General features: G+C 38.9%; 1 protein-coding gene across 11 annotated transcripts in view, besides 5 other annotated features; it reads right to left on the reverse strand.

Annotated features, from left to right (window-relative positions):
• Positions 1–18,248, reverse strand: part of METTL8 (methyltransferase 8, tRNA N3-cytidine) — a 119,027-nt gene that overhangs the window by 86,904 nt on the left and 13,875 nt on the right. For 4 of the 11 annotated variants that reach the window (NM_001321157.2, NM_001321162.2, NM_001321160.2 and 1 more), the window contains exon 2: positions 11,954–12,077. The exons of the other annotated variants lie outside the window; for them this stretch is intronic. In NM_001321157.2, the coding sequence (NP_001308086.1) occupies positions 11,954–12,077 (124 nt within the window). The remainder of the gene's footprint in view (positions 1–11,953; positions 12,078–18,248) is intronic. 11 annotated transcript variants of the gene reach the window in all.
• Positions 3,135–3,184: a silencer, noted in NCBI's record as "silent region_12101". NCBI's record gives its function as "represses an Ori minimal core promoter by ATAC-STARR-seq in GM12878 lymphoblastoid cells {active_cell/tissue: GM12878}" and the evidence as "EXISTENCE:reporter gene assay evidence [ECO:0000049][PMID:35858748]".
• Positions 3,815–3,914: an enhancer, noted in NCBI's record as "active region_16752". NCBI's record gives its function as "activates an Ori minimal core promoter by ATAC-STARR-seq in GM12878 lymphoblastoid cells {active_cell/tissue: GM12878}" and the evidence as "EXISTENCE:reporter gene assay evidence [ECO:0000049][PMID:35858748]".
• Positions 4,742–4,801: an enhancer, noted in NCBI's record as "active region_16753". NCBI's record gives its function as "activates an Ori minimal core promoter by ATAC-STARR-seq in GM12878 lymphoblastoid cells {active_cell/tissue: GM12878}" and the evidence as "EXISTENCE:reporter gene assay evidence [ECO:0000049][PMID:35858748]".
• Positions 13,398–13,507: an enhancer, noted in NCBI's record as "active region_16754". NCBI's record gives its function as "activates an Ori minimal core promoter by ATAC-STARR-seq in GM12878 lymphoblastoid cells {active_cell/tissue: GM12878}" and the evidence as "EXISTENCE:reporter gene assay evidence [ECO:0000049][PMID:35858748]".
• Positions 13,518–13,567: an enhancer, noted in NCBI's record as "active region_16755". NCBI's record gives its function as "activates an Ori minimal core promoter by ATAC-STARR-seq in GM12878 lymphoblastoid cells {active_cell/tissue: GM12878}" and the evidence as "EXISTENCE:reporter gene assay evidence [ECO:0000049][PMID:35858748]".

The following is an 18,248-nucleotide window of genomic DNA, read 5'->3' on the forward strand; positions in this document are numbered from 1 at the left end:
CCTAGAAGTCATCACATCCCGGTGGCAACAAGCACACCCAGTACCCAGATCTTCGTTTCTAACCATTCTCTAATAAAACAGAACCATGGCTGCTTGGAGAACTGGCTGATTCTAGGATTGAGGCAGAGAATATAACATGAGCCTAGAGCATCTTATAGTGCCAGAAAGTAAGGAAGTGCACACACATACACCCGAAAAACCAAAAAAACCTACAGTGCTGAGGGTATTGTCAAAAGGACACAGGAGCCAACTGAACGTGTAGCCAATGGCCAAAGCTAGAATACTCTGAGCAACAAAATAAAAAGTAGTTTTGGATTACAACCCAAAGTATAAAATAAATATCCATGTATCCATACTGATATAAATGATTAAATAAACAAATAAATGAGGGAGAAGAGAGAAATCGTCCATGCAAATAGTCCTGAATAATTTATGTAAATAAATACTCTTCCCTTAAGGAAGTGGAACATAACTCCTCATTAAGTGTGGGCAGCACATAGTGACTTCTTTCTAAAAGAGTTCAGTGTGGAAAGGGGGAAAAATAACTCTGCAGCGGAGTAACTTCACAAAGACTTCCTCAGCCAGGTGATCAAGGTTAACACGAACAGTGATAGTGCTGATAGCATGTATTCTTGATATGATGTGACAAAAACAGCACTTTACCTCTATGTTCTTCTTCCCCAACCCCCATAACTTCAGTCTAATCATAAGAAAACTATCAGATAAACCCCAGTTGACAGACATTCTATAAAATATGACTAATACTCCCCAAACTGTCAAGGTCATCAAAAACAAAGAAAGTCTGAGAAACTGCCAGAGCCAAGCAAAATAAGGAGACACGATGACTACATGTAATGTGGTATCCTGGATGGAATCCTGGAACTCAAAAAAGTCATTAGGTAAAAAGTAAGGAAATGTGAATAAAATATGGACTTTAGTTAACAATAATGTATCAATATTGGTTCATTAACTGTAACAAATGTACCATACGAATCTGTTACTAACAAGGGAGACGGGGTATGGACTATATGGAACCTCTCTATACTAACTTCACAATTTCTTCATAAATCTAAAAGTGTTCTAAAATTAAAAATGTAAAACAAAATAATTTTGTATGACTACAGACTATGATGTGAGGGGCAGACAGGTGGGGTGGGGAGGTGGTTATAAGGCTGGAAAGTTAGGCAGAGGCCAGATAGGAATCTTCATGTACACCAAATTAAGCAGTTTGAATATTTTCTCATAGGCAATGCAACAAACAGAATTTTAAATAAGAGAGCAAGATGATGAGATCTGTTCAGTGGTCCCCTCCTCATCCTGTCTGCAGGGGATAGGTTCCAAGATCCCTAGTGGATGCCTGAAACTGTGAATAGTAACAAACCCTATACATACTATGCTTTCTCATATATATATATATATATATATATATATATATATATATATATATATATGATAGTTTAACTTACAAATTAGGCTTAAGAGATTAGCAATAACTAATAAAACAGAACACTTGTAACAATATACAATAAGTTATGTGAATATAGTCTCTCCCTCTCTCTCAAAATATCTTATTATACTGTATTAACCCTTCCTGTGTTGATGTGAGATGATAAAATGCCTACGTGATAAGATGCAGTGAGGTGAATGATGCAGGCATCGTGACATAGTGTTAAGCTACTATTGACCTACATCTGAAGGACGATCAGCTGCTTCAGGTAATCCTGGATCATGGAGCCATGACGGTGTCAATGGCTGGCTGTCAGGAGCAGATGATGACTACCGGGTAGTTAGAATTTATAGAGTGGATACACTGGACAAAAGAGTGATTCACTTCCTGGGCAGGACAGAGTGAGATGGTGTGACACTTCATCATGCTATTCAGAATGGCATGCAGTCTAAAACTTCTGCCTTGTTTATTTCTGGAATTTTCCATGTAATATTTTCAGACTATGGTTGACAGTGGGTAAATGAACCATGGAAAGTGAAACCATGGATAATGGGAGACATTATTTATAAAGATTATAAAGACTTACAAAATGTATTTATATATATTATAATGGCCTTATACTACCGATGACTGATCAATGAAAATCAAAGTTCTGGGACCAGGGCATGTGTAGCATTTAAAATCTCCCCATACAATCTTGGTGTACATTGAGGATTGAGAACCACTCAGATACAGAATTAATGAGAAGAGAAAGAGGCCCAGGGCTACACACTAAGACTATTAGATCATGACAGCTAAAGAAAACAGTGGCCATGAGTATCAACGAGGGCACATATTCAAGTCACACTTCAGAGGGAGAATCAATGAATTTCTTGCAATGACTAGATGTAAAAGTTGTGTGCAGTGAAACAGGAGACAAGGTTTCTGGCTTGCATGGCTGAGTAGATGTTGATGGTATTCAAAACAGAGTTCATACACACAGGCAAAAAGGCTAGATAATGGTGGGATGAAGGTAGGGAAGGGAAGATAATGAGTTCAATTTGCACATGACAAACTTTAAGGATCCTACAATATATTCAAATGGATAGCCCCAATAGGTACTTAGAAATGAATTCATGTGAGTGGTAGGTGCTAGAGATGTGTATCTGGGAATCAAGTCCTGGTTTTACAGGTGGTGGCTGAAGTCGAGAGGGACTGATCAAGAAAAAAAAATAGGGCAGATGGAACTAATGGTAATACTGATATTTAGGAAGAAGAGGGGTTAGTTTATGGGACTCAATACTAAAGAATATTAAAAGAAGCCAAAAATAAACAATTGGTTTTAGAAATGTAGGAAATCAGTGATGACCTTTATCAAGGTGATTTGAAACCTGGCTCTGCCAGCAGAAAACAGTTTAATCAATATATAAGTCACTGGAGTAAAGGAGGTAATGAATGTAGATGACTGACAGGCAGAGGAGAGAAAAGGAGAGAAGTTGGGCTGTATTTTGAGGGATCATGTAGGTGAAAGAAGGGTATTTGTTAAGCTGCAAAGATTCTTGAGTATCATTGTAGGATGAGAGAACACACACACACAAAGACTGAAGATACTGAAAAAAGAAAATTGCTGACAAAACAAGTTTTGAGAATAAGTAGGCCAAAGAAAGGGGAAATAAGTACACAGAAAACACATCAGCTATGTGAGGTATCTAGAACAACTTTATGCTCTGAAGAGTAAGAACAGGTGAGTTTGTAGTAGAAGAGAAGATGGCTAAGACACTCCTTTCCCAATGAGCTCTTCTTCGTGAAGTAAGAGGCTGTAAGGTAGGGGGCATGAGAAAAGGAGGAACAGAAAAAAAATGGGAAAGGACACTAACAACATTTGAATAAAAGAATGTCAATGAACATAAGTTGCCTATCTAAAGATGCAGCTCAAATTAGTGGTTATTTATTGGTTGTCTCTCAAGTATTCACTCCCTACTTCCCATAGCTCATGGACTTGAAATCTGTACATTTTCTGAGAGGCCAGAGTGGACATGATTGAAGCCAGAGGTGAACATATACCCTATGCTAAGCCAATCGGCACACTTCTATACCTCTGGGCATAGTGATTGGTTAGGAAGTGGGCATGTGGCCAAACCTGTCCAACAGAGTACCTTTCTGTTTTACTGCTAGAGATCTGGGAACAAAGATAATTTTTAATACCTATTAGGTATGAAAGAGGAAGCACCTGTTATGTATGAAAGAGGGGCTTTTTCAACAGCCCCAAAGCTGTTGAAAGCTATATTGGTCAGCTTGGGCTGCCACAACAAAATATCATAGACTAGGTTGCTTAAACAACAGAAATTTTATTTTCTCACAGGTCTGGAGGCTAGAAGTCCCATATCAAAGTGCTGGCTGATTTGGTTCCTGGCTTGTAGACAGCCACCTTCTCATTGTGTCCTCCAATGGCCTCTGTGCATTCGCAGAGGGAGAGATATCTTCTCCTCTTTTTATAAGGACACCAGTTCTATTGAATTAGGGCCTCACTCCTAAGACCTCACTTGATCTTTATTACCTCCATAAAGGCCCATCTCTAAATAAAGTCACATTGTGGGGTAGGCCTTCAGCATATGAATTTAGGGGGACACAATGCAGTCCATAACAAAAGCCACCTTGGAGCCATGAGTGGGCCTAACGTTAGGTATGCATGGTACAAATATAGGATGAAGCCAACTATGAGGCAAGAAAACTAGGAAGCTAAAAAGAGGTTCATAAGTCCCATTGTTAAGTAGTTGGATTAAATTCCTCTTTTTTTTTTTTCAGTTATCGAGCCAATACATTTCTTAATTGTTTAAGCCATCTGAGTTTTCTGTTATCTGCTACCAAAAGTAACCTAACTGATAGGGCAGTTATTGATTTCCTCTACTACCTAGTTTGTGGGGCGAAATATTTGGTTTGATCTGGATTAGGACTATTTAGGCTTGTAGTATGGAAAGCAATGGTGATTTAAGATGGTGGAAGTGAAGGAAAATATAACTAGTAACCACAGAGTAAGCCCATGCTGACTGGGAAAAAAATAATAGAGAGGGAAGAGGAGGGTAGAAGGAATTGGAGGAGCTGATGGACTTAAAGTGGCTAGAGTCTGGGTTTAAAAGAAACAAGGGGAGGGACCCAGCAACTTGGGAGGCTGAGGTGGGAGGATCACTTGAGCCCAGGATTTTGAGGCTGCAGTGAGCCTTGATCATGCCTAGGTGACAGGGCAAGACCCGGACTCTAAAAGCGGGGGGGAAATGGAAAGAAACAGGGGAGGGAGAAGACAGATAGGAGGTACTGGTTAGGAATGAGGCCTTCTAAGTTTTTTTTTTAACCCATCTCACCTAGTAACAAAAACAGTAAACACTGTAACAATGAGAAGGAACTACTGCTTTGAACGAGAGGCTCTTACAGTGTGGCCAAAACCACAAGGCCACAAATGCCTATGAAAGAGAAAGCTTTTAGTATTGACAAAAGCTAAAACATGGACTCCCGTCCACCATCTTATGTTAATCTTCTGAAAGTCATTATAATAGATCTCCATCCCTTGCTCTTCAGGAACAGTCCCCCACTGGACACATCTGCTAAAACAGGGTTTGTCCAACCAAGGTCCTATGACAATTATTTAAATCGCATTTTTATTATGATAATAATCTAAAATTCAATAGGAGCCATGTATAACTGCTACTTGATTTCAGTGTCTGTGTTTGCATTTATGATCTTGCTGGCAATAAGCAGCACAGATGTAATACATAAATGATGCATCTGAGTATACAGCACACTGTAAAAAGATTCTGCAGTATTTTGAATAGAGAAAAGTGGTGAGGGAATTGGGAAGACACATAGCACACAACAGCACAGATGGGCTGAAGTCAAAAGAACCTGCATGATGATGGTCAGTAGCTTCTTTATAATGAGAGTTGCAATTTATTTTCAGTAAAACATCAGCAGTCACACTATACCGCTGTTAATTCGAGTTTTATTGGTTTTGTGGTTGTACTTGTACTTATTTTGATTTTGTGGCTGAATAGGAGCTCTATGTACAAGGAGCTTATACCTGGATTTGTGTTCATAAACAACATAGTAAGAATATTTTAAGTCAACTGAGGGACCTGAGAATATTTTTCCTTTAAACAGAGATTTATTTCTCAGCATTTAGAAATAGTATTAGAAAATTCTGTTCCAGAGAATTCTACAGTTTTTTTGTTTTTTTTTTTTTTTGAGATGGAGTTTCACTCTTGTTCCCCAGGCTGGAGTGCAATGGCAAGATTTTGGCTCACCGCAACCTCCGCCTCCCCAGTTCAAGTGATTCTCCTGCCTCAGCCTCCCGAGTAGCTGGGATTACAGGCATGCACCACCACGCTTGGCTTTTTTTATTTTTAGTAGAGATGTGGTTTCTCCATGTTGGTCAGGTTGGTCTCAAACTCCCGATCTCACGTGATCCACCCACCTCGGCCTCCCAAAGTGCTGGGATTACAGGTGTGAGCCACCGTGACCAGCTGCTGGGAATTCTACTCTTACTGCTCCTTAATAGCAGAAATATCCCTAAGTAGGGCAGAGTCATCTCAATTCTCTGCAGAAAGCAATTTCAGGTGGCGCTGAAGGGTATGGACTAGGTTGGTTCAGGATCTGCCACTTACTACCACAGGCTGTATCACTACCAGAGGTTGTCTTAGTTTTACAACCTCTGGCATGATACCTAACTTCGCTAGTCTCAATTTCTTTAATAAAATGTGGCTAATAAGGTTATTTCCAAAGATAGGAAGCTTCTGGGAGGTAACACATGTAGCTTAGTGCTGGGTGCGTGGTAAGTGTTCAATCAGTGCTAACCCATTTGCTGTTATCATTAGTCTGCCTCTCCTCACAATTTCCACAGGGCTTTGTGAATACCACAGGATCAAGCCTTCCACTAAGATGCTGCTTAATTTGAACAGCCCTAAGTAGTCCCAACTTTTCAAGAAGACAAAAGACTAATTTACCAATGAAGCAGGATGGTATAGTAGAGGGCTGAACCGACAACAGGCTTAGTCCCAAGTTCAAGTCACTTAATAGGTGGCTAAGCCGGGACTTGAAGTTGAGATTAAGTCTGTTGTCAGTTCATGATTTTTTAGGGAAAGTCACTTTGCTTACGCCTATCAGTGCGTTCGTAAAATTGAGAGAATTCTTAAGTCACAAAGTTCTTACAAAGAAAATTATAAACTACATAGTGCCTTACAAATGTAAAGTCAAATTATTATTCAACAAATTCCGGAAACATTTCTAAGGGGCACCTCTTAAAACTAAAACAGAAAAAAAAATCCCACAAAATAAAATTAATAAATAATTACGAACACCCTCCCACCTCCCACTGTCTAGCAATCAGGTACTGAGGCAGTCAGTTAGGACCACAAGCTAAAATGAAAGTAACAATCAAGTCTTACTTTCTGCAACAGTGCAAGCGGGAGGCAAAAAGAAATGCTAGCTCCCCAGCTTTCCTTTCTCCCCCACTGAATGGCAGCACTGGGTGAGGATCAAGTAGACACGGCATAGATGGGGAAATTGTCTTACTGTCAAGGAGGGGTGGGAGAAGGCTCTCGCTTTTCTAAATGGACCCCTGGGGTGGAGGTGGTCAGGGACGCGGCAGGGCAGAGAGGGGAGCCTGGAATGGAAGGAAGTCCTCTGAATGGAGGCATCTGGGCTAGGAATGCAGGGGGCTGATTCCTAGACTACAGCCCCTCCAGGAAACTGCAATGTTCTAGCTGTGCACCAACTATGGTGTGGGGAAGGCAGCTTCTCCCCATGAGGCCCTCCAGGCAGAGCCTTGTAATTGTCTACGGTCAGGCCGGAAAGATCACATGTGGAATTTCGACCTAGAGCCAGACTCCTCACCCACAAAGAAGTAAACCTTATCCCAGGAAACTATATAAACTTAAAAAAATCAATAAATTTAAGAAAGGTTTAGAAAAGCCCATGAATAATAATGTCACAGCAAGCTGCTAAAGAATAATTGAGAATATTAATTATGTTCTTAATCTCCAAGGAATACATCATATAGAGAAACCTTAGTAATCTTTCACCTATGAACGGTCTTATTCCTACGCTCATTTGTAAGACAGTTGTTAAGAGCTCAGAACCACATTTTCTATAGGAACATTTTAAATGGTGATTAAGAAACCAGGCTAGTCCACACATGCTTTTTAAATCCATAACGTGGATGAAAAGAAATGTCCTTGTTTATTTTAAATGGTCTTAGAAAACTGGCAAATCCTATTTTCCCAAATAGCTGAAACATTGCCAATCCACACTGCCTGGGGCAACTCGAATCTTATTTAATACAAAAACAATCTGATTAAATATGATTCTTTCCAAACAACAACAAAACACATAAAACCTGTCAACCAACTCCCTGCCACCTGACAACCTAAGATGTGTCTAGAAGGTACTAATGTTGTTTAGCTAAAAACTAAACCTGTACCTCAAAATAAGTGCTGTCCCTTCAAATAAGTGACTTTAAGAGATTACTATTTATTCCAATAATAGCAAAACATTTTTGAAATTCCATTTTCAGATAATGTCCTCATAGCAAGCTATTGTTCTTTTTCATATCCTCAATGATGGCAAACTCTTTGCTTTAGAAGAATACCTTTTGCTTTCAGAGTAAGTTGTTGTTCTTGTTGCCATACATGTATAAACTCCTGACATAAACAGCTTGGAAGAATAATACTCATTAAGATACAGCTTCTGGTATGTTATTTCCTTGAACAGTCTTAAGCAGTCATACCTCATAAATCCAGTTCACATAGTACATACTGTAATACCACAAATGATAGTATCTTTAGATATTACTTAGATAATATCCTTAAATGTTACTCTTTTCTAAGAAGCCAAAGTTATCTGGAAATATGAGCTGGATGTTTTTAAAAAGTGTTTTTATTTAAATGGAACATATACAGTGGGAAAGATCCCTCTACAAATTCAACATAAAATAATATGAAATACCTAGGAATAAACCTAGCCAGAAATATACAAGACCAATATGAAGAAAGCTATACAACTGTACAGAGGGACATGGAAGACAATTTTAATAAGTAGGAAGACAGTACATGGGTTTCTGGGGCTGAAGATTCAATACTGTAAAAATATAAATTCTCACCAAATCATCTATAAAATTAAAGTAATTCCAACAGAAATTCCAAAAATGTTTTGGGAGAACTTTAACAAATAATTTAAAAGTTCATCTGGACAAATAAACATGCAGGAAGCACCAGAAAAATACTACAGGGAGAAAGAGTGATGTGATTGTGTTGGGTGGAGTTGGGGGATGGTGTGTACCTGTCCTTCCAGACATTACAACACACTGTCAAACAGATAAGTCTTGGGCATACCTCTAACACAGGAGATACAGTCAAAGCAAATGGAACAGAATAGAAAGTCCAGAAACGAGTTAGAATACATATATAAGAATTCCATTTGTAATAAAGTTAGTATTTCAAATTAGTGGGTTAGAGCTGGCCTATTCAAAGATGTATATTAAGAAAAGGGCCACCCGTTTGGAAAAAAAAGGTACATCGCTACTCCATATCTAACATCAAAATAAATTCCAGATGAGTTAAACTTTTAAATGTGAAAAATTAAATCTTTATTAGTCTAGGAAAAAAGTGAATATTTTCCCAAAAAATGGGGTAAAAAAGACTCTTAAACATGATACCAAAGCCACAAACTATTTAAAAAAGGAGAACAAGACAAATAGATTGCTTACATTTAAATGTATGGGAAAATATGCTATAAAAGACACTGGTGGAAATAACCTGCAAAATATTACAATGTGTTAGTTTATAAGGAATGCTTAGAAAATAATAAGTAGAAATGACCTCAGCAGGAAATGTGCTAATGCTATGAATAAGCATTTACTAAAGAAATGCAGATGGCCACTAGACACTTGAAACTGTTCATCACACTAATAATAAATGTCTCTTTAGGATTCTTTTGACTGCAAATAACAGAAGGCACTACTCAAAGTGGCTTAAATGATAAGGAAATAATATCTGTCATAACTGAAAGCCCAAAGATTGGGCAAGTTCCAGGTAAGGTTTCATCTGCTATTCTACAATGTCATCGAGGATCCAGGTTCCTGCCATTTCTCCATCCTGCTCTCCGCAGCATCACCTTCATCCTAAGGCTAAGTCCCTCTGTCAATTACAAAATGGCTGCAGCAGTCCCAAGCATCACACAGACATGGCAACATCCAGCAAAAGAAAAGGACCATCTCTTTCTGTGTCTCTTTTTAGGGAGGAGGAAACTTATCCACAACTTCCCAGCCAGACTTGCTCTCAGATTTCACTGGCCAGAATTTGGTCACAAACTATTCCCAAATCAATCTCTGGTAAGAGAATCTTAAACTAGAAGTTCTCAGAGTATGGTTCACGAATTCCTGGGGAACCCTACCCCCCTTTAGGCAGTCTTCAAAAGGCTAAAATTATTTTCATGATAATATCAACATATTATTTGCCTTAAAAAAAAAAAACACTGTAGTGCCATTTGCACCAATGGTGCACAGGCAATGTGGATAAAAGCATTAGCACCTTTGCCTAAATCAAAACAGTGGCATCAAACTATACAGAAGATCACTGTCTTCTTCACCAACTATGGACTCACAGAAAAAAAAAAAAGGCAGTTTCACGTAAGCATTTCCTTGATGAAGCAATAAAAATTGTTTTCACAGAGCATCATTTTAACTTTGGTATTTTCTCAAAAATAAATGAAGTAAGACTGCCAAGAAAACAACTGACACCATTTGTTGCCTTTGATAAAATTTAAGCTTTTAAGCAAAAATTAGAATTCTGGAAAACCTGTGTTCACCACTATAAGCCTAACAGCTTTCTAATTCTTAAACACTGTTCAGATGAGAACAAGATATTTTTGGCACTATAAAATGAAATGTGTCAACATTTGGAAGACCTATACAACTCAATGAGCCAGTATTTTCCAGATGACCAACATAAGATGATACAAAATCAAGCACGGGCTAAAGATCCAGTCAAAGTATAATACAAGACAGACCAATGGATTTTAATGTAGCAGAATATGAAAAATTCACTGACAAGGCTTCAAATTGTAATATTGCAATTAACCTTTAAGATACTACCACTTACTGGGATTTGGTGTAGTAGTAAAGTAGAATACCCATATTCATCTGAAGAGACAAAGCACTCCTCCCCTTTCTAACCACTTATAAAATATATCTGTGTGAGATCAGATTTCTTCACATATATCAACCAGAACAACATATCACAACAGACTTAATGCAGAAACAGATATAAGAATCCAGTCATCTCTTAGGTGAGACATTGAGATTTGCAAAAAATGTAAAACAATGCCATTCTTCTAATATTTTTCTTTTGGAAAATATTTTTTATAAAAATATGCCATAATAACATACAATGGGTTTATTAGTCTTATTTTTAAATCACTTAATAATGCAGTTTTTACAGGTGTTGTGATAAAAAAGATTTAATAAATATTTAAACAATTAATTTTTTCTTAGGTTACATTTCAAATGTAGTAAATATCCATAGCTACAAGCCACATAAACAAATGTTCTTTGGAGCCTTTATAATTTTTTAGTGTCTAGAGGTCCTGAGACCAAAAAGCTGGAGACTCGCTGCCTTAGATTAATTTTCTGGGTGATATGGATAGCGGAAAGCCCATCACACAGAAAACAGTAAAATAATCTTCTGTCATTTTGGCGAAGGTAAAAACACTGTGATAAATGGTGTGCAGGAACAGGCATTCTGGCAAACTGAGGGGGCACTGAACTGAGAGACCTTTCCTGAGGGGGCTTTGGTAATACATATGAAAATTTTAAAGAAAAAATTAGAAAGAAAATTTCGTTTCTAAAAATATATCCTATGGATATAATCAGAAGAATATATTAAGGATTTGTCATAGCATTATTTGTATATTACACTGAAAAACTACAATACAAATATTAATTTTTAGAAGACTGACTAAATTATTGTACATGCATAGAAAGGAAAATTATGTAGCTGCTTAAAAATGTTGCTAAAGCCAGGCACAGTGGCTCATCCCTGTAATTCCAGCCCTTTGAGAGGCCAAGGTGGGCGGATCACCTGAGGCTGGGAGTTTGAGACCAGCCTGACCAACGTGGAGAAACCCCATTTCTACTAAAAATACGAAATTAGCTGGGTGTGGTGGTACATGCCTGTAATCCCAGCTACTCGAGAGGCTGAGGCAGGAGAATTGCTTGAACCCGGGAGGCGGAGGATGCGGTGAGCTGAGATCGCACCACTGCACTCCAGCCTGGGCAACAAGAGCGAAACTCCGTCTCAAAAAAAAAAAAAAACATCTTGCTAAAGGCTGGCCCCAGTAGCTCACACCTGTAATCCCAGGACTTTGGGAGGCCAAGACAGGCAGATCATTTGAGGCCAGGAGTTAAAGACCAGACTGGGAAACATAGTGAGACCCCCATCTCTACAAAAAATTAAAAAATTAGCTGGGCATGGTGGTGTGTACCTGTGGTCCCAGCTTCTTGGGTGGCTGAGGCAGGAGGATGACTGGAATCTGGGAGGTTGAAACTGCAGTGAGCCATAATTGCACCACTGCACTCCAGCCTAGGTGACAGAGTGAGGCTCTGTTTCTGAAAAAAAAAAAAAAGGTTACTAAAACCCTAAATTTATTGGTATGTGATATGGTTTGGCTGTGTCTCCACCCAAATCTTATCTTGAATTGTAGCTCTCATAATTCCCACATGTTGCGGGAGGCATCTGGTGGGAGATAAATGAATCATGGGGGCGGTTTCTCCCATACTATTCTCGTGGTAGTGAATAAGTCTCACGAGATCTGATGGTTTTATAAGGGGAAACCCCTTTCACTTGGCTCACATTCTCTCTCTTGCCTGCTGCCATGTAAACTGTGCCTTTTGCCTTCTGCCATGATTGTGAGGCCTCCCCAGCCACATGAAACTGTGAGTCCATTAAACCTCTTTTTCTTTATAAATTACCCAGTCTGGGGTATGTCTTTATCAGCAGGATGAAAATGAACTAACATGGTATGAAAAGATGTCCATGATTTATTAGGTAGAAAAAAAAAGTCAGGTACAAGATAGTATTTATAGTACGGTCTCATCTTAAAAAATTAATGTCTATATACCAAGAAACATGCATATGCATAGGGAAAGTCTAGTAGAATTTATAGCAGTTGTCACTGATTGAAAGGCTCACAGATCTTCCTTGCATTTTCTTCTTAATATATCTCGAAATCTTTTTTTTTTTTTTTTTTTTTTTGACAGAGTCTCACTCTGTTGCCCAGGCTGGAGTGCAGTGGCGCGATCTTGGCTCACTGCAACCTCTGCCACCCGGGTTCAAGCAATTCTCTGCCTCAGCCTCCCAAGTAGCTGGGATTATAGGCCCCTGTCACCATGCCTGGCTAATTTTTGTATTTTTAGTACAGGTGGGGTTTCACCATGTTGGCCAGGCTGGTCTTGAACTCCTGACCTTGTGATCCACCCGCCTTGGCCTCCCAAAGTGCTGGGATTACAGGCATTAGCTACCACGCCTGGCCTAAAATATTCTTTTTTCTATGTAAACCCAAATTACCTTTATAATTAGAAAATATAAAAATATTTTAAAATCACTAAATATACAAATTCTATATAATACTCATGAGTAGAGGATCCACTCTAGGGAATAAAAGATGGTATAATAGGCAGTAGGTGACAGCAACACTAGAATGCTGGATTCTGGACCCAAATAGCCAAGGGTAAATGTCCAGAGAAGAGTTGCTTAAAAGACCTCTAATTGTCAGACTGGGTAAGGCAGATGATTATGGATGCTGATTAAGGTGGAGCAAAGAACCAGGAAGTAGAAAGAAATTATTAGAAAAGGAAAAGGGTAACAGGAGAATGTGGGAAACCAACAGCCCATGCTAGAATGCTGAATTCCAGTTATCTAGAAACCTCCTATTCATCAACTATGGCAGGCACTTGCTACACTGTTGTTTGACATTATGGCTGCTCTCTCTTTCCATTTGATGACTGTGTTTCTGACGCGCCAGGATCGTTTCATTTATAGTACTTGTTAATCATCAGACAGAAAACACAGATGGTACCAGTCAGGTCTGCCCAGCCTTGCTGCTGAAGCTGGAGTCAGCTCCTAGGAAAGCTCGTGCACCCTCTGCTGGTCATCTCTACACCAGGACAAGAGGATCTGTGTCCAAAGGAGGTAGGTAGCTTCCCATATCACAGGGATTCACCTTTGTATTCTCCAGCTAATTTCAGTGAAGACTTTGGGAACCATTTCCTCAAACTGCCACCTCAAACAGACAATTCCAGACTAAAACAATGCCTTCCTTTATTATGCCAAAGAGAAACATCCTAAAAACTAAAGTGCTGTGAGAAAATTTTCCATCAAGAGCATTTTAAGTTCAACGATTTCACCTTATTACTTAATAATTAAAGGTGTCCAGATGGCTGCAACACTTAATATGGCTATAAAGCTCCATTAGCCTTTACTCTGGTTGAAAATCTGAGAACCACTCTAACAGATCTTATTTGTACAGATTTTATAACTTACAAAAGCTCTCACATTCATTTTCACATCTGATCTTCAACTATCCTGTAAGTGAGGGACAAGGGTGGGAAAAGCATTTCTGTTATCACTGTTGTACAGATGCAGGAGCTGAGGCTCGAGCACTTGGTCACATAGCCACAAGAGCCCACTCTCCAAGCAGGCTCCTGACTCCAGATTCTATGTTCTACTTAGTACGCTATTCCATCTGAGCTGCTGATCCATCAGAAGTTTTCTAAAGAGTTGGCATGAATTTTAGCAGAGAGGTAAAAGACCGGAAATACATGTTTCCATAATACATCCCACTTTTGCTTCAAATGTCATCTAAATTTTAGATGCTGAACCCTACATCTGAGGGGTTTGCATTGCAGGCAGTGCTTTTCCCAAAAAGAACATCAGCTTAACAAGGGAAGTGGATATCTTAGTAAGAAATCTACTGAAAACCAAATAAAATTAACTTAGAATTTCTATGTGTGGCATGTCTATGCCCATAAAAAGTAGATCCTGTCAGGCTTTGTAGCTTTCACTAAGTCAGTGCTATATATGAAGCATGAAACTGGGTTGGGGATTCTCAAGTTCTGGTCCTGCTTTCTCTTGAATCTTTATAATCTCGATGATTTTCCCCATGAAAACAAAGTATTATGGATACTGTTCTGTTGGAGTGCCAAGCTAAAAATCAGTATGCTGAAGAAGAGAGATGCAGTGAAATTTAGCCATAATCACCAAAACTAAAGAACAAAAGTAGTAATAATAAATAGATTCAAACAATTATATAAGGTTTGCTTTGTGCTAGGCACTACTCCAAGTCATACACATGCACACACACACAAATTCATTTAGTCCTCCCAAGAATCTTCACTAACAGATAAAGAAATTGAAGCACAGAGAAGTTAAGTAGTTCTAGTTACTTAAGGTAGCCAGGGTTACACAGATACTAAGCAGTGAGGCTGAGATCTGAACCCAGGCAGGCTGGTACGTGAGTTCATCTTCTTAATTACTAAGTTGTGCTATCCCTATATAGTGGTGTCTACCATATTCCTGCTGCATTTTTAAAGTAAACTTTTAATTTCAGATTTATAAAAATGTTACAGATAGTACAGAGAGTTTCCATATATGTGATATAGTTTCCCCCACTATTAAATCTTACATTATTATGGTATATTTATTATAATTAACAACTCAATAGTAATACATTATTATAAACTTAAGTCCATACTTTATTCAATTTCCTTAATTTTTATCTAATGTCCTTTTTCTGTTCCGGGACCCCTTATTACATGAGATCATGTCATCATGTCTTTTTTTTTTGAGATGGAGTCTCACTCTGTCATCCAGGCTGGAGCGCAGTGGCGCAATCTCGGCTCACTGCAAGCTCCGCCTCCTGGGTTCACGCCTTTCTCCTGCCTTAGCCTCCCGAGTAGCTGGGACTACAGGTGCCCGCCACCATGCCCGGCTAATTTTTTGTATTTTTAGTAGAGATGGGGTGTCACTGTGTTAGCCAGGATGGTCTCGATCTCCTGACCTCATGATCCACCCGTGTCAATCTCCCAAAGTGCTGGGATTACAGGTGTGAGCCACCGCACCCGGCCATGTCATCATATCTTCTTAGGCTCCTATTTATTCTGACAGTATCTCAGATTTTCCTTGTTTATGAAGACCTTGACAGTTTTGAGGTATACTAGTCGGGGTTTAACAGGTTTCTCCCCACTGTTAAGGTATATGCCCCTTTTACATAGTGTACTCTTTGGAAGGAAATCATTATGCAGAGCCCACATTTAAAAAGTGGGCACTTAGGCTCTACCTCCTTAAGGGCAGAATATCTACACAAAATATTTGGAATTCTTTTGCATGGACGATTTGTCTCTTCTCTCCCATTCATTTATTTATTCAATCCTTTATTTATATCAGTACAGACCAGGGATACTTATGTTATACTTCATGTTATAACTAAATACTAACAGTTATTTTGCTGCTCAAATTATTTTGAGCTTTGGCCATTAAGAGCTCTTTCAAGCCAGGCATGGTGGCTTATGCCTGGGATTATAATCCCAGCACTTTGGGAGGCCGAAGCTGGAGGATCACCTAAGCTCAGGAGTTCAAGACCAGTCTGGACAACATGGCGAAACCCCATCTCTACCAAAAATACAAAAAATTAGCCAGGCATAGTAGCATGTGCCTGTGGCCCCAGCTACTTGGGAGGCTGAGGTGGGAAGACTGCTTGACCCCAGGAGGCGGAGGCTGCAGTGAGCCGAGATCATGCCACTGTACTCCAGCCTGGGTGACTATACTCCAGTATAAGTATAGTCCGGTATGAGTATACTCCAGTATGAGTATAGTCACGCAGCGTGACAGAGTGAGACCCTGTCTCAAAAAAAAAAAAAAATCCTCTTTCAGTTGGCTCCTATATTCCTTTTGACATAGTTCCATCACTGTGTTTTTGTTTTTAGCACTTGCTTACTTTCTGGCACTCATTTTGTGTATTCCTTGATCTAGTCCTAGAAACAGCCATTTCTACAAAGAATCTTTGTTCCTTTTATTAGAGAATGGTCTGGGCACCAGGTGTGTTCCTTGCTACTAGGTTGTCCTTGCTTCTCAGTCCTCTCAAGGGACAAAGCAAGGAAATATAGGTGTGCATAATAAACCAAGTATATACATATATCTATATATAATGTGTTTCTATATGCATTCATCTGTATCTATATTAAACTAGAGTTCATACTACTAGCTCCAACTCTAATCTATTACCACACAGATAACTCCAGCCTTCCCTTCTTGCTTGTCTATAGCCTTCTACTCCAACAGTAAGAAACCTGGTTCCTATCATCACCATCCAGTTAATAATTGTTCGATTCTAGTACACCTGTATAGTGGTTTCAGAATTATTACCCCATACTGCCACAGGAAACTTTATCAACTGCAGTATAGTGCTTATGTACAGTTCCCATTGCCTTTAGTCTTACGGTCTCATTTCCAAAGTTACTCAGGTCAACACCTTTTCTCTGGCCCCCTTCAGTGAGGTTATTGCATACATTTGTAATACAGTTAGATTATTTTGTCACTCTGCATTCCATCCTGGAATCCCCACACTCCTGATATCATTTTAAAAATTCTGAACATGTTAAATTCCACTCTGTGCTGTACATAACACATGCATGGTGTCATGTACCCACCATTATAGTCTCAGACAAAATAGTTCCACCACCCTAAAAAAATCCCATGTGACTGATTTAAATCTCTCCCTTCCCCAAACTCCCTGTTTCTGTTACATTTTCTAAACAGAGAATGTACTGTATATCATTGCTTCTCATCCTTTCCCCTAACAACATGTTCACATTTATAAATATGTGATCTCACTTCAATCCTGAGTGTTCCCACCAAGCAGATGACTGAGTAAAACTTAGAGAAACAAAGTGTTGGCTGGGCACGGTGGCTCACACCTGTAATCCCAGCACTTTGGGAGGCCAAGGTGGGCGGATCACTTGAGCTCAGGAGTTCAAGACCAGCCTAGGCAATGTGGTGAAACCCTGTCTCTACAAAAAATATAAAAATTTTATTTAAAAACAACAACAAAAGAAAGCGGCTTGGTCAAGATCTCAGGGAGTGATGGTGCTGGCACTAGAACTTGTAGCTTTTGACTCCTGGTATGATGCTCTTCCCGCTAGACTATTCTTTTGTCTTTTCAGTAGAGAGTGGCATGGTTATGCAGAGAGACAAGAAGAAGAAAAAGAAGATGAGGCAGACATGGTGGTAAGTGATTATTGAAAGCATATATTATTAACAGAAGCTTTTAAACTAAAAGTATAATAAAGTGGAATTTTAGTTCTGCAAATTAGGTGAACTTTATACTCCAAAATCCTTGCTGCTATCAACCACCCCTAAATGGCTGGATTAATATGTTTTAAAAAGAAATCTTATTAAACATACCCCTGAGCCAGCAAGAAAGAGAAATACTCAGAGACCAAAAGCTCGCAAAAGTCCAGAGCTGAATGAGCACTGAGGTTAGCAACCACCCAAAGCCTACAATGTATAAAAAACAAAATGTGTCACAAAAATTGATCTAAATAAACCCAAGTTTGGTTTAACAATAGAAAGTATATCAATGTAATTTGCCACATTACCAGATTAAAATAAAAAATCATATAATGACCTCAGCAGATACAGAAAAGGCCTCTGATAAAATTCAACATTCGCTCATGATTAAAAATCAAAACTTTTAGTGACTGTGAAATGGAAGACAATTTCAT

The sequence above is a fragment of the Homo sapiens genome, chromosome 2 (assembly GCF_000001405.40).
Source record: "Homo sapiens chromosome 2, GRCh38.p14 Primary Assembly".
Taxonomy (NCBI): Eukaryota; Metazoa; Chordata; class Mammalia; order Primates; family Hominidae; genus Homo; species Homo sapiens.